Source organism: Homo sapiens, chromosome 5 (assembly GCF_000001405.40).
Source record: "Homo sapiens chromosome 5, GRCh38.p14 Primary Assembly".
In the NCBI taxonomy this organism is placed as follows: domain Eukaryota; kingdom Metazoa; phylum Chordata; class Mammalia; order Primates; family Hominidae; genus Homo; species Homo sapiens.
Genome location: NC_000005.10, coordinates 137486138 through 137502339, shown reverse-complemented (window position 1 = coordinate 137502339; position 16202 = coordinate 137486138). Strand labels below are relative to the sequence as shown.

Below are 16202 nucleotides of genomic sequence, written 5' to 3'. Positions count from 1 at the left end.
GGAGGCTGCTGATGGTGACAAGTCATTTCAGTTAGTGAGGATGAAAGGCAGATTGGAGTGGGTTGAAGAATGAGTTGGAGGTGAGGAGGCAAAAGTGACATTTAGGGACAACTCCTTGGAGAGATCTTGCTGTCACACTGGGCAGATAAATGGGGAAGTGCTGCTTACTTGGGTTTCTATGAACATAAGAAACAGTCTCTTCATCATTTCTAAACCTCTCTCCCACTCTGATGCACCCACCCACAGCATTCCATGATAAAATAAACCGTGGATGATGTGCAGTCCCCAACATAGTAGCTGTGACTCCATTCCTTTTTCTCCCTTTTGAGAAAGTTTCTAGGAATGCAAATCAGGCAGAGTAATGTTGGGAAAACCACAGATCTGCTGACTTCCACACATTCAACTATTATATGTAACCAAATTATTTGTAGCGCAACTTATTATTGATCACACCATACATTATTGTTGGCATGCTGGCTGAGATGTGTTGTTGTTCCAGACATGGTTGGGTGGCATTCATTCATTAAATCATTCATTCATTTATCAAATTTTTTTGAGCACTAACAATGTGTCAACTCTGGGCACTGGGAGAAGTGGTGAACAAGACAAAGATAGCCTCTGCCCTCAGGAGCTCTAGCCAGGTGGGGAGGCAGACATAGAGTAAGTGATATCAGTTGAGCTTACAGCCAGAGAAGCACTGTGTTCTCAAAGACAGCATCACTGCAGGTGCTGGCCTGGTCCACAGGTGTAGCAAGAGTCTCTGAAGAAGTGAGGATGAATAAGCAGAGAGCAGAATTAATGAGACTTGTGCTGGGACTGGGTATGGACAGCAGCCCAGGCAGAAGTGAATACCCAGGAGTGGAGGGAGCCCATTTCCACTGGGGTCAGGGCCAGCCCGTCCAGAAGGTCAGAGGAGGAGAGAGTGGGGTGAGAGGCGGGGTCCAGATGTGCGGGGCCTGGGGGCTCCAGCCAGGAGATTGGTCTTTATCAGGAAAGCATTGTGAAGAATTTTGTGTTGAGGGGAGAGGGGTGATGGGATGGTCAGACTTGTTCTGAAAGAGCGCTCAGGTGTCTGGGGAATGGGGTGTAGTTGTACAGAGAAAGGTGACAGGCCAGTATCACTTGTATACAGGCAGGGGAAGACATTAAGTCCCTTCCAGCCCTATTTCACCAAACATTGCTGGTATTTGGAAACGGGGTGGGGGATGGGGCAGGACCAGACTTCTGCTTCTCAGTGTTCTGTCCCTGTAGCCTGATCTGTTTTTCCTCTCTCCCCTCCCTCCCATCTAGGGGAACTCAACAGGTTAGTGCTGGGGCCGGTTCTCAAGGGGCAGGACAGTGGTAAGCATGGCATAGGGCATGGGAGTGCAGAGATGCAGGTGGGTGCATGACTTGGGATGGGCAGTGCAGATATTCACTTATCCAGGGAATGGCAGGACGGTGGTTATCAAACTTTGCCATGCATAAAAAACGCCTCGGGAGCTCATTAAAAGTGCAGACTTGGAAGCTTTCCTAAGGAATGCTGACTCAGCAAGTGGGGCGGTGGGGCAGGAATCATTTTTAGGAAGTTCGCTTCTCTCTCCACCCAGGTGATTTTGATCTAGATAACCCGACGGCCTTCCTTTTGAGAATGCCTCCATGCTGGCCTGCGTCTTGGCCTCATATCCTCAGTCCCCTCTTCTGTCTCGCACCAGCCTGGGCCTGAAAGCTGATTTTAGCCCTGCATTAAGATGTGAATGACCCAGGACATAGGCGTGGGCAAGGACTTCATGTCCAAAACACCAAAAGCAATGGCAACAAAAGCCAAAATTGACAAATGGGATCTAATTAAACTAAAGAGCTTCTGCACAGCAAAAGAAACTACCATCAGAGTGAACAGGCAACCTACAACATGGGAGAAAATTTTCGCAACCTACTCATCTGACAAAGGGCTAATATCCAGAATCTACAATGAACTCAAACAAATTTACAAGAAAAAAACAAACAACCCCATCAAAAAGTGGGCGAAGGACATGAACAGACACTTCTCAAAAGAAGACATTTATGCAGCCAAAAAATACATGAAAAAATGCTCATCATCACTGGCCATCAGAGCAATGCAAATCAAAACCACTATGAGATATCATCTCACACCAGTTAGAATGGCAATCATTAAAAAGTCAGGAAACAACAGGTGCTGGAGAGGATGTGGAGAAATAGGAACACTTTTACACTGTTGGTGGGACTGTAAACTAGTTCAACCATTGTGGAAGTCAGTGTGGCGATTCCTCAGGGATCTAGAACTAGAAATACCATTTGACCCAGCCATCCCATTACTGGGTATATACCCAAAGGACTATAAATCATGCTGCTATAAAGCCACATGCACACGTATGTGTATTGCGGCATTATTCACAATAGCAAAGACTTGGAACCAACCCAAATGTCCATCAATGATAGACTGGATTAAGAAAATGTGGCACATATACACCATGGAATACTATGCAGCCATAAAAAAGGATGAGTTCATGTCCTTTGTAGGGACGTGGATGAAATTGGAAACCATCATTCTCAGTAAACTATCGCAAGAACAAAAAACCAAACACCGCATATTCTCACTCATAGGTGGGAATTGAACAATGAGATCACATGGACACAGGAAGGGGAATATCACACTCTGGGGACTGTGGTGGGGTGGGGGGAGTGGGGAGGGATAGCATTGGGAGATATACCTAATGCTAGATGACGAGTTAGTGGGTGCAGCGCACCAGCATGGCACATGTATACATATGTAACTAACCTGCACAATGTGCACATGTACCCTAAAACTTAAAGTATAATTAAAAAAAAAAATAGAAGTAAATTAAAAAAAAAAAAAAAAAAAAAAAAGATGTGAATGACCACGTTCCGGGCTGGGGCGGCCGGGCTGTCGGGCAGGCAGCGCGCGGCCACCAGGGGGCGCCAGAGCCTTGGCTCGCGCGCTCGGCCTCCTCCGCCCGCGGACGCCGCGCCCGAGCCAGCGAGCGAGCAGAGCACATCGCTGCGGGCTCACAAAGCGGCCAGACGCTCGGCGGCGGCGTGTGGCAGGAGCGCAGGGGCGCGAGCCGGCGATCAGCCTTCCCGGCGACCGTGCCGCGGGAGCTCGAGCAACTCGGACTAGGGGACCCGGGCCGGCCCCCAAGGTACGTGCCCAGAGGAACCCCGCGCCCCAACTTGGAGTAGTTGGGACCTCCCCGCGGCCGCCTAGGGGGCTGGCAGGGTCAGGGCCTGGGGTTACCTCCGCGCGCCTTTCTTACCCCCGAGACCTCAGGGCGCTCAAGGGAGACCTTTCCCTTAGCTGTCGCCGGGGACCCCCAGCTGCTGGCAGCCCCCACCCCGCTTGCCGGAGCTCGGGTGCTGCTGGAGCCCTGTTCTCCCCTCTCCTGCCCCAAAGCCGTGTGCACCGCACCGTCTGTGGGAGTGCGGCGTGCGGACCCGGGCTCCCCGCTTCTGGGGAGGGGTACCAAGCCCCTGATAGGAGGGCGGCATCTGTGGGGCACTCGGAGAATAGACGAGACGGGTCCCCTGTAGTTGGACGGCAGCCTCGGATTCGTGACGCAGCCTCCTCGTTCGTAGATGAGTCCCCCATTCGTGAGAGGGGTCCCTGGGTCTAGAGGCGCGACAGGCGCCCCAGGTGCGCGAGCGCTGCCCGTGCCCGCCGCGGGGTCCCCGCCTCCGGGCTGGGGCGCTGGGACGCCTGGGTGCCCGGGGCTCGCGGCCGCCCGCCCTCTTCGCTCATCGCCCTGCGCGCCCTGCCCCGCAGATGCCGGCGATCGCGGTGTTGGCGGCGGCCGCCGCGGCGTGGTGCTTCCTCCAAGTCGAGAGCCGGCACCTGGACGCGCTCGCCGGAGGCGCGGGCCCCAACCACGGCAATTTCCTAGACAATGACCAGTGGCTGAGCACCGTCTCCCAGTACGACCGGGACAAGTACTGGAACCGCTTTCGAGACGTGAGTACCGGCGCCACCCGGCCCTGGGGGGCGCGGAGCCTCTCGGAGGGGACCCCTGAAGCGGGGTTGGGGTGTGTGTGTGTGTGTGTGTGTGTGTGTGTGTGTGGTTGGGAGGGGGACAGGTGGGCATCTCCCGCGGGGGCTGGTCGGTCCCAGCTTCCTGGGTGCGGTCTTGCCTGAAAGGAACTTTAAAGAGAACTTCGAAGGCTCCATGCGCTTGCCTGTTACCTGTGGCCCAGGTGTGTGTATTCGTAGGGCTGCGGGAGGTGACTGCACTAAAATACAGCACAGATCACCAGTAGCTGTGGAGAAAGAGGTTCTCTGAGCTTCCGACTTCTCCTAACCGTGATGGTAGACTTTCCCTAGCTCCGGAGAAAACCTCCCCGGGGCAGCGGTGGCGTGGACCATCTCTGGGGTGTGTCAGGAGAATCCCTACTGGAGAGGTTGGGTCTGGGAGTGGTCCAAGCTATTTATGGGGGAGCTATTTATGGGAGTCAGGTGTTGCATGTGTGTGTGTGTGTGTGTTGAGGGAGGCGGTCATGGCAATGGGCCTGATAAAATACAGGGGAGGTGGGGTGGTTTGACCCTCGGAATCTTGAAACAGGAACAACTAGCCCGTGCAGTTGGTCCCCTGCCCTGAAAGGGACCCTGGGTGGCAGAGCATTGCTCCTCCGTGGGAGCCCTGGGAGTGGAGAAAGTTACTCCCGGACACGCAGAAACACACTTGCGGCCTGTTTCTGCCTCAAGGCTGGCTGCCACTCCCCAGGTGTGCCCCAGGGATGTGGGGCAAGAGGCATCTGGTGCAGTCTTTCCAGCAGATGGCATCTCCTCTGTTCTGTGGGAGCGTCTGCCAGCTTCTTCAAGGACTGCCCCAGCTGGCCAGGGCCATGCCCTTCTAGGGGACTTGGGAGTACCATGTTTTATGGTACTTAACATTAGGAATTCCTGTTTCTGAGAAGCCTTAAATATTGTAAAAGTGCCCAAGGCATAACAGTAAAAAAGAGAAAAGCTTTAATGTTCAAAGGCACTGTTTCTTTTTGTTTGTTTCTGATCAGTTTTAGGTGTTAAACTAATATTTTTAGCAGCATGTATTTTTTAAATATGATAATTTGACCTATACCACAGACCCCCTTTGTTAATGTCCCCGGGCATGGTTTACAGACTCTTTGAGGTGGGATATGTATGGGGATCAGCTTCCTCCACTGGACTCCTCTAAGCTCTGCTCTCAGTATCTGCAGGCCTTGCAGGGAGAGGGAATTTGAGACATTGAATGAATCCCAGATGTTTCCATACACTTTTTAAAGAGCACCCTCTCCAGATCCCTGTCCAGAGGAGATGCACTCATAGCTTTGTGTGGGGGTTTATCACTCTCCTCTCTGTTCCTCCTCTTCTTTTTTCTAGTTGATGTTGGACTGCTTCTCTTGGAAAGGGGATTTCAAACACTTTCAATGAATAGCCACAGCTATTTGGGGCCTTTTATCGAAATTGTAATTTCATTAAAATTTTTAATTGATACATAATAACTACTAGGGTCTTTTGCAGTAGATATGCCCCTCACTTTCCTCCCCTACCCCAGTGAGATTCCTGCCATTCATTGCCCCATTCCTGACCTGCTCTGTTAACTGCTTAGATCTGAGAATCCTTCATTGATTACCTTTCCCTATGGCTGAAAAATGTGCCCAAACCATGAAGGATTCACCTGGGGCAGAGATAATTTTGCTTTTTGTTTTGTTTTGTTTTTACTTTTCTATGGCTATCTTTTAGATAGAGTTGAAGAGCAGGGCAGTTGCTTGACTTTGCTAGAGGTGGAAGAATTGAGCCAGGATTAGAAGTGAAGGGCCACCTCTGGAGATAGATGCCTTGGTGCTCCTGGCAGCTGGATTGAGTTGAAAACACTTGTGCTTTTTTGGATCTTTGGGTTATGGAAAGGTTTACTGTGCTTTCATGCCTGTTCAAGATTTTCTAGTCTCAGTGTATCATAAGCATGATATTCTGAATTCCTGCTTAGCTTTAAATTTTTTAAAATTGGGCTTCTGTTCATTTCCCATCTTTATTATGGATGGTGGTGACATTTTTAGATCTTTGGAACAGTGTGTTTCCAAACCTGACTGAGGATGAAGCTCACCTGAAGTGCTTGTTAAATTATAGCATCCATGGTCCTACCCTGGAGAATCTGACTTTACATTTCTGGGGTGAGTGCAGGGAATCCATATTTTAAGCAAACATACTAGGTTATTCTAATGTTTAGGAAATACTGCCTTTAGATAGTATAAAAATGTCCAAGACATAACAAAAAGAAAAGCTTTTATGTCCCAATACACTATTTTTTTTTGTTTTTGTTTTTGGAGCGGTTTTAGACATTAAACTAATATTTTTAGCAGCATATATTTAAAAAATGATAATTTAATCCAGCATGCCATTAAAACATCTAAAAATGTTCAAAAAAATCCCAAACTTCTTCATTCATCACCCATTTTATGTGCTGTATGGAGTCACCTGACACTAACAGTGGCTCAGACATAATTTAATGTCATTAACCTCTTTAAAGTGTTGTGGAACTCAGACCAGACACTCTTTTAGGGCAAGTCCCTGGAATAATCACAAAGCCTGAGCCTGGGAACAGAGGGTAAGAATTTGCTTTCTACAGAAACCTACTATTCAGTGGACAATCGATAAAGCCTCAGCTAATCTTGCAGTTGCTCAGCCAGCCTAATCATTTTCATTGAGCCAAGCCTTGCTTGAGGTTGACAAAGCCTCAGCTTCTTTGCTGTTTCTTTGTTTTGTTGAAGCTACTGATAACTTTGAAAGGCTGTGTCCCACAATTATTGTTATGATGCATGTCAATTTTTGGAACTCATTGTGAAAGAAAACTTCTTGCCTTCCTCCTGACTTGTCTCTTTGTTGGACTTGGGGGAGAGATTCAGATGTGATTTTTGAAACTTGGAAACTGAAAACTAAGGGCTGCTCTTAGAGAGTTGATTGTAGCCCTTGGGTGTTGTTACAGGGTCAACTTTGAAATGAATATGACAGTGGGGTGCGTGTTCCATATCCCTTGACTACTGGGTGTGCTGTGACATTGCCAGAGGTGACCTGGCAACCTCTACTTATCATTTTGAAAAGTGTCCTATTGCTCTAGATGTATAAATACTTCCTATCCCCTTCTTTTTAGAAGTAAAGCCTTTAGAACAACTCCATGGCTTATTCCCTGGAGTTACAGATCCAGGACAAATAGAACAATGCTCAGATGATTGCTCCTAAATGTATTTGTGGTCTGTTAGTTTTGTCATTCTTCTTTTATAAACACTAGCAATTGGGAAGTTTTGGCCAGATGGAGGCCTGGACTTTTGTACACAATGTTAAGGAGGCGATGAAGAAGCAGATCTTTGTATTAAGTTGTTCAATAATTTTCCATCTTTAGCTGACATGCATTTAACTCCTCCATGGCTTGAGGTTGAGGGATCAAGATGCCACAACCATTCTCCTAATTTTTCTGCATCTGATTTGGCTTTGGCTTTCCATAACCATTACCATAAGGAAATTTTCCTCTGTTCATTTGTACCTTCATTCATTCCAACAAATATTTATCTACCATTGACTAGGCATTGGGTTATAAGAGTGAACAAGATAAATACATGTAATCTCTTCTTTCATGTAACCTCTTGTCTGCTAGAGGAAATTCTTTAACTTATGCTGTCATAGACTACTTATTCTGTTTTCTTTTAAAAAATATTTTTTCTAGAAACATAATACAGTCTGGTTGTAACTAAAAGATTAAAACATTGCAGAAATAGGTAATAGCTAACATTTATGGAGCATCGAGTGTGCCAGACACTGTTTAAGGTACTTTCCATGTATTATCTCACTTAATATTCATAACAATCCTATGAGAGAAGTACTTAACCCTGGGAGGTTAAGTCTTTTGATCAAAATTAGAGCTGAGATGTGGAGGAGCTGGGGCTGGAACTATGCCATCTGACTCTAGGCTCCCTCTGTACCACAGCCAATCAGGGGCTGAGTGGATTTGGGGTGCAAGCCTCCACTGATAGCACATTGCAAGTTTTTCCTGCTTTATGAATGAGGGCAACCCGTGAACAGCCTTAGGTTAAGACAGAGTGGGATGGGAAGTCAGCTGGACACAGTGTATTGTGGGGGTCATGTCAGGGCTTATCTTCTAATAATGAGCTTCTGATTTGATTAAAATAATATTGTTGCTTACACCAAACATGACATTTTCTTTCTTTTGCACACATGAAACCCTGACATTTAACTTTAGGATAATTACCTTTAGCGGGCCTGAAGAATCAGAAGTGCTGCCTTGGCTGGAATTTATCTTACTGTGGAGTGACCTGAGTGTGTAATTCTAATAAGAGCACAAGGACCAACTTCTGTTCTTTTTCCTTCTGGCACATGCTCTGTGGGATTTGGTGGTCTTTGTAGCAGAGCTGGGGTGGCAGCGAGCATCTGATCTGCTCATTTGATCTAACATATCAGCTATAATGAGTTTCAAGGGCAAGTGGAGCCTATTGATAAAATAGTGGCTGGCCCAGTCAGTGGGGCTGGTGACAAAAGAGGTGGTATGGCTTAGTGGATCAGTCATTAATCTGTCATCACGGAAACTCAGCCCGTAATCGAGAGTAGCAGAAAATCATTTTGATTAAACAGGTTCAAGGAGACTTAAATGAGTTTGTGATCCTGACTCTCTTTAATGAACCCACTATCTTAAATCCCCTGTACTAGCTGACCATTGATAGAAATAATTATTTCACAGGGATCATTATAAAGGGACAGTTTAAAAGTTGATAGGCCTAAGAGCCTTCTTGTCTTCTCTGTCCTTACCTTCAATGTGCCCTTGCCAGAGAAAAGCTAAGTCTTCTCAGATGGCAGAGCTCCTTGCCCCAGTTGGCCTTCCCAGGCCTCTCCATGATACTTCAGCAGAACTGTATCACTGGGAGGATAAGTGCTCTCCTATATTCTGATGAGGCCAGTTTCAAAACCAAGAAGTGGCTCCAAATGGATAATGGACCCGTAATACTTGCCTAGAGGAGTGGGACCTCATCATTCGCTCAATCACTTTGTTACTTGAGGAGGCAAAATAATGTTAGTAATTAAATAATGTATCATCATTTCTTATTGATTTACTCAATATAATGTGTTTCAAACCAAACACAATAACTAAACACAAGCACATTCAGGATGACTCATTTTACCTTTCCTGTGGTGAGGTGACTGCCTGTGGTCCTTGGAAAATTCATAAGACCCAGATTATACTTGGTCTTATCTCTCCAGGTGAGATAGTTACAAACAAAATAAATTTCCTGTAAGAGATTATGTAATTCACTTAAGGTTATAAGTATTTGTCCATCATGTTTCATTCGGTGTGAGATGCCACCAATGGTAAGATGCACCATTTTAATGAACCGTCAAGGAGTAAGACAGTGCCCAGTGTGAAGAGTTTAATAGACCTCTGGATAAAGCTGGAATTCCAAAGGGCTACACTGTGTAGAGGTAAACAAGAAATGAACTCACCATGAAGGGAAGGGGCTGCAGCAAGGCTACTTGCCTGTCTCCACCTTCCATTGGTGGATGGAGAGAAAAGACATGGTCCAAGCAACTGAGCAGTCTGGCACTCTCGCAGGTTTCTGGTCTACATGCACACTCTCATTGTGCCCTCCCCCCATAAAAAACTTACACAGTTCATTTAACTTAAAGCAATCTCAGATTATTTATCATCTCTGGGCCACTGACTCATTTGTTAAGAAATGATAATAATATTCCTTTGGTGAAACTTTAGATTGCAAGTGACTGAAATGTGGTCCAAGCTGGCTTAAATGGAAGAGAAAACATACTCGCTTGTATAACTAAAAAATTCTAAGAAGCTGTGGTTTTATGTAAGGCTGGATCCAGGGGTCAAGTTACATCATAGGACTAGGGGTTTGTGTGTGTCTCATTCTGTCTCCCTGCTCCTATGTTGGTTTTGTGCTCAGGTTGTTTGGTTCCATGTAGTGGCTCATGGCAACTGCAAATCTGCATCATCATAGTTTTCATGTTCTCGATAGTGCCAACAGAAGTCCCAGAACTGAGACTTGTCAGATTTCCCGGCGTTAGGCACCCATTCCTCCGTCAATCACTTTGGCTAAGTTGGTAGAGTGTGCTGATTGTCCAAGTCTGGGTTATGTGTCCAAGTCTGGGTTATGTGCCCAGGGCTGGGGCCTAGGGCTAGAGTGGTGGAGGGGTTTCATTGGATCCCACTGTTGATGGATGGTAGAAGGGTAATTTCTCAAGGGGAAATGGATGCCTGATGGGCAGATGTCAACAGATGTCCACTGTGTTGACCAAGCTTATGGGTTTAGCATGAAGAGTAAGTTGGTTAATGCAGGTGAAGCTCTTAGCACAATGCCTGGCATCATAGATAGCAAGTGGAGGCTATTCTTTTTATTAATATCAACAATTCCTATAGCACTGTTATGCAGTATTCCTTGATTTATAGTTGTATATATCTACATTTTAGCTTATTTAATAGTTGGATGCCTCCTGAAGAACCTAAGTCTTGTCATGCCTCACACACAGCAGGTGGCCAATAAGCATTTTGTTGACTTGAATTGCCTCCTGAGCAAACCTCTTGGATGAATCTGAGGAAGGAAAGCTTTTAGAAGCATACTAGGCACATGTGTTTATAGTCTCTGAGAGGTGGAAATTCTCAGGGTCACACATATCGAAAAACTGTTTTTTAGTCTAACTCCTATCTCTAAGCCAGGACCTCACCCCTTTGTAATTCCTTTTAAGATACACCATTGTATATAGCTTGGTGTCCTCAGACCTTTACCACAGAGCCCCACTCAGAAAGCTGCTCATTGAATGTTGGAATGAATGAATGGCTGAGTGCACTGTCCCAGGCCAGAACTTTCCACACCTGTGGCAAGTGGAGGGGTTCACTGCAGAGGGCTGTCATGGCAGAGTGAGTCATACTAGCTTCGAATGTGTATGTCTCACTCTATTAGTAATTGAAAATGATGATGGATAATAACAAATGCAGTGCTGTTGAGAGGCAGAGGGAACCCAGCAGGGAAATGCAACCCCCCTCGCAATTCCAGCACAATCTCTGATTCCGTGAAAAGCTCTTTGAGGCTGAGTCATGTCATGGTGTAAGTGCCCACTATTAACCTGAGGTCACGTTCCAGTCTTGCCAAAGCTAAGCTTAGGTGTTTGGCTAGAGCATCAGTTTCTTCTGTAAAACTGGAATGGTGATACTTGCATTGTGGGGCTCTGGGGGAGGACTGAGTAAGCACGTGGCACAGAGTAGGTACTTGTGATCTTTGAGTGGCTGGTATATCTATTTTAATTCGTAATGATCTATAATCATTTAATTTAAGGGAGCTTCTTGTCTGGCTTGTGAGTGTGAGTTGTTGGCACTCAGCTATAGATGCTGCTTTCTGTCTCTTAGAAACATGTTGGGGGAGTCAGTTCCATGATCATGAGCCTGTCTTCACTCCATTTCTTGCCAGTCTGGAAGGCTGTGTGAGGTTCCATATGGCCCATTCTTTGTTATTTTCCAGTTGTAGCTCCTGGCACAGAAGACCTTGCCATCATATTTTATATTCTTGCTGGACCTCCTCCCCCAAAACTGGCAACTCTCATCATGACGTAACTGGGAGGGGGTTTGTATGCAACTGTGTCTGAAATCCAAGTTATGCGAAGGTTGCTCTTGGGAGCCCCGTTATGCAACTAAGCACTACTTGGTGTCACTTTAATGTTAAGCTCTGATCCAGTTGCCTCCAGCTCACCTCAAGAGGTAGAAACTTCATCTTGTCCTGCCAGAGAGGTCTCAGGCAGGCTTTATGGGCACCAGGGGATGGGATCCATTTTGAGACAAATGATCCAACCGGCCTGTGTATTACTGCGGCGTTCTCAGCACGCTCTGTATGTCTGGTGCCCATAATTTGGTCTTGATTTTGCATCATGTTGGCATCACTATACTTGGGGAAGTTCTTGCAGGGGCTAGCACCTGCTTCTTGGCACTCAGGCAGTCCCCAAGCTCCAGATTTGGCTTTAGAACCAAAGGAGAATACTAGTAGGGATTAGCCAGACCTTTGATCCTTCTCTCCAAAGACCCAGTTCTTCAGTTCCAGATCATTATGGGTCGTCAGAGGGCCTGTCATTCACTACAGCCCAAGCAGGTTGGTTGTGGCTTAGGAGAAACCCAGCAATAACAAATAGTTAATGCAGGTAGGGTAATGTGTTGTCACACAAATGTTCTTCAAATGCCAGCTATGTGCCAGGCCTCTGCTAGGTGTCGGGTGAAGAAGATAGACACATTTGTACCTTCCTGGCATTTATGGTCTAGTATGGTAGACAAACAATCACGGAATAATCATTTATGTTCCTTTGAGAAAAGTACTACAAGGCAGAGGCACCGATGCTCTCAGAATATGTCATGGGAAGAGGGAGGAGGAACCCATTAACCTTTTTGGCTGGGGACTGCTTCCCTGGGAAGGGCATTGAAGCTGAGCCCTGCAGGAGGACTGCAGTGAACCAGGTGAGGAGAGGCCATGGGAAGAGTGGGTCCAAAGGTCTTGAAGTGGGAAAGACCTTGATGTGTTTCCATCAGATGTGTTTGCCCTAGTGTTCCCTTAAGTAGCAAGCTCTCTCCTAGTGTATTTTAAAGCACACTTCACACATTTTCAACTTAACACACATTTGGGGGCAGGGGAATGAGTCAACTGCAAAAAGTGAGGCACACAGATGGCCCAAGTACTTGGAAGGATGGCCTGTTCTTTTCCTCTCCTCTTTGTGCCTCTCTGTGCCATCTTCTGCAGCCATCTCTATTGTATAAACATCCCTCACTCTGGTCCCCCACTTAATCCTTCCTACTCCTCTGGTGTCCATGGTCTGGAAGTTTCTCCTTCCCTCTGTGGTCAAATGTCCTGGGCTTTAGAGCTCCTACAGTTCCTACTGCTGTTTAGAAATAAGAGGATCATAGTGTTTCTTGGTCAGAGTGGTGATCTGTGGAGTTTATATTTTAAAAATGAGACTAGTATACATGGGGTTGCTCCTTCAGCTCCTCCCCTTACCTTTTCCCCTTCCACTGTCACTTTGAGGCTAAAGATGAAAAGCAAGACATTCATCTAAGGGATCAGCTTAGCGGCAGAGATAGACACGCATGCACTTACTTCAGCACCACATGGGGAGTGTGTGGATAGCATGTGCACCTTCTTGCCCTTGGGTCTGAGTCTGCCCATTGTTCCTATGACAGACATGGGGATAATGGTTTCTTTTTGGGGAAGATGAAAGATGCATTCACAGACTGGTGATGTGAATTATTGGGGATCCCTTTAGAAGGATAATGCTAAGATCCAAGTTAATTTGATTTGGTAGCTTTTCTCATGGTTTTATGAAAATATACCCCCCAGAGACCCTCTCACTTCATTCTCAAAAACAAACTTTTCTTTGGGGAAAGGGAGGAAGGGCGGACATATTATACAAGGATTTGTAATGCTTCTGAAACCCTTCCTGTGTGATCTGGGACACATCACACTCCAGAGGGCACCGTCAACATTCCCCAGCAGAATTATGTGGTAGGTGAGCAGGCATTTATGCAAAGTCCGTCGGCGCCTGTGATTGGAGCAGGGAAGTGGAACTTACTGCAGGTGTTCCAGGCAATCTTTGCCCAAATAAAACATGGAGAAAACAAACATGCAGAGAGCAGAGGCCTCTACTTTTTATTTCAGCTGTACTCGTCTGTCCCGCCGTGCAAATGGAGTCACGCTCTAACTCAATTCTGAGAGGCCTGGCCAAGACAAAGAGAAAAGATGCCCAGAGCGGTCTGTTAGAGTGGCATTCTCAGACTAATATCTTTACAGTCTTGAGAAATCACTGTCAGGGTTTATTTAAAATGCAGATTTCATCCTGCTAGTCCAGAGCATAGGCTTTAGCAGGTCAAAGGTGGCACCCAGGAACCTGCATTTTAAATGAGCAGTCCAGGTGATTCTTTTTTTTTTGAAGACAGAGTCTTGCTCTGTCGCCCAGGCTGGAGTGCAGTGGCGCGATCTCAGCTCACTGCAACCTCTGCCGCTTGGGTTCAAGTGATTCTCCTGCCTCAGCCTCCCGAGTAGCTGGGACTACAGTCATGCGCCACCACGCCCAGCTAATTTTTGTATTTTTAGTAGAGATGGGGTTTCGCCGCATTGGCCAGGCTGGTCTCAAACTCCTGACCTCAAGTGATCCGCCCACCTTGGCCTCTTAAAGTGCTGGGGTTACAGGTGTGAGCCACTGTGCTCAGCCCAATCCAGGTGATTCTGATGTAGGTAGTTCTCAGACTGTATTTTTAGGAAAATCCTAGAGAATTGTTATCCATCCCAAATAGCCAACACCATTTAGCTGCAATGAATAATAACATTTTAGACAAAATGAGCATTTTATTTTGAAGACTTGCAATAAATTAATATGAGTGCAGTATTTTCCCCTTATGCCAACAGGGCTACCATTCACATCAGAAAAAATGGTCTTGTTTTCCAATGTGTGACTCAACATAGGCCTCAGCAACAGCTATTGTCATGAGGTTTTCCTGGAATGGAATAACATTTGGGTCTTGATTGGCTGCCAGGGCCCAGGGATGCTTGCACACATGAGCACAGTGGAATTGATGTGGGACCTTCTACATGATGAAATTCCAGGGGATCATCTCAGCATATTTGTCTCCAAAAGGCTTGATTCTAGCTAACTCTGGCCTGACTTTGTATCTAACCCAACTGATATGTTTTCTGCACAGACGAAATGAAGGAAATTGACTCTGACGTTGGCTTTAGTTTATAGTGAAAAGAATATTGAAACTGAAGTGGTGTTAAGGGTATGGAACAAACAAGGAATGGTGGATGTAATAAAGAATGTTTACTCTTGGGCACTGAGATGCAGATACTGATAGTCGGAACCACAGAGGGAGTCTGAGACACAGGGGCTAGATGGTGACATTACCTGATACTCTCTTTTTGGTGTAGTCAGTTCTTTTCTTGGTTGGCCAGAGGTTTTTTTTTTTTTTTTTTTTTGAAAGATCAGAAGGCATCCACTCCCCTGCCCCCTAAAAAAGGACTCATCAAAGTTTAGAAAATTTATGAGCATCAACCAGACTTGGCAGTATTCCTCATTCTGAAGTCATTCTATTCCCACTGAACAAACTCTCAAATGTTCTTTTCCCCAGCTGCTTGAATTTCCTTTAATTAATGGTAAATTCATGGCACCTAAAATTGATTAAAAAAAATTGCCAAGAGGAAGAAAATAGTTAAGTCTGTTGGACAGACTGTTGTGGCTATTTGGAGGTCTTTCCATTGTTCCACTGTTAGGGGAATATGGGGAATTTCTGGATCTTTCCATGCTTATTGGACATGATGATTCCCTGTGACTTCTGTGGACGTGGTTGGCTTGTGTCAGTACTTTCATCTGGCCAAGGCCTCACTTCCCATCTGAGTCAGCCAGCCTTGTCATGACTCTGGACCTGGTCTGGAGCCTTTGTCCAGCCACCTGGAATGAGGCCTGCATCACTTCCAATGACTAAGACGGTCAAATTCTATCCACAGTAAAGATAAAATAATACTGTGTTTACTGTTGTTAGAGAAATTGTGAGATTTTTACATGCCAGAATTGTTGGTTTAAAAATTCCTATGCCAGAAAGACCTTTTCATGTGTTTTTTGGAATATTTTGTTTCTTTGCATGGCCATCCAGGTCCTAGATCTTTGCCTTTTTAGAAACCAGATCCTGGTGCACTGATTCAGTAGGTTTTGTTTATTCGTGTGTTCATACCAAAGATACTTACTGACCAGGCTACCATGTACCAGGCACCGTGCTATGCACTTAGGATGTAGCAGAGGGGAAACAAACATGATTCCTGTCCCCTGGTCAGGCTGCAGGCTTTCTATTTGCGACAAAGTGAAGAGAAAGAGGTGCTTGGAGGTCAGGGAAACCTGTTGGGGATTTTTCTGCAAAGAAAAGGGCCTACTCTGCAAATGGCCCAGAGCAGTTCTGGCGAGCTGGGCTTCCAGAGGCATTGTCCTTCTTGTGATCCAGGGCCATGTCTCTGAATCTTTCTGGTGGTCAGGTCACTTCAGTTTGCCTCAACTCTTCCTGGCATACATGGGCAACTTCTGTCGTTTTACCCAATTTTATGGGTACAGACACTGCCAACAGGCCAACAGGAAGGTGCTGGCCTGTACAATCAAGGTGGAGAGTTCAGACAAGACAGAACTT

The 16202-nt window shown here is 46.1% G+C and overlaps 1 protein-coding gene across 1 annotated transcript in view, besides 1 other annotated feature; it reads left to right on the top strand.

The window, feature by feature from the left end:
• Positions 2844-3063: a silencer, noted in NCBI's record as "silent region_16382". NCBI's record gives its function as "represses an Ori minimal core promoter by ATAC-STARR-seq in GM12878 lymphoblastoid cells {active_cell/tissue: GM12878}" and the evidence as "EXISTENCE:reporter gene assay evidence [ECO:0000049][PMID:35858748]".
• SPOCK1 (SPARC (osteonectin), cwcv and kazal like domains proteoglycan 1) overlaps positions 3014-16202 on the top strand; it is a 524029-nt gene continuing 510840 nt past the window's right edge. Inside the window, exons 1-2 of the mRNA NM_004598.4 lie at positions 3014-3161; positions 3782-3967. Coding sequence (NP_004589.1) covers positions 3782-3967 — 186 coding nt within the window. The 5' untranslated portion in view covers positions 3014-3161. The remainder of the gene's footprint in view (positions 3162-3781; positions 3968-16202) is intronic.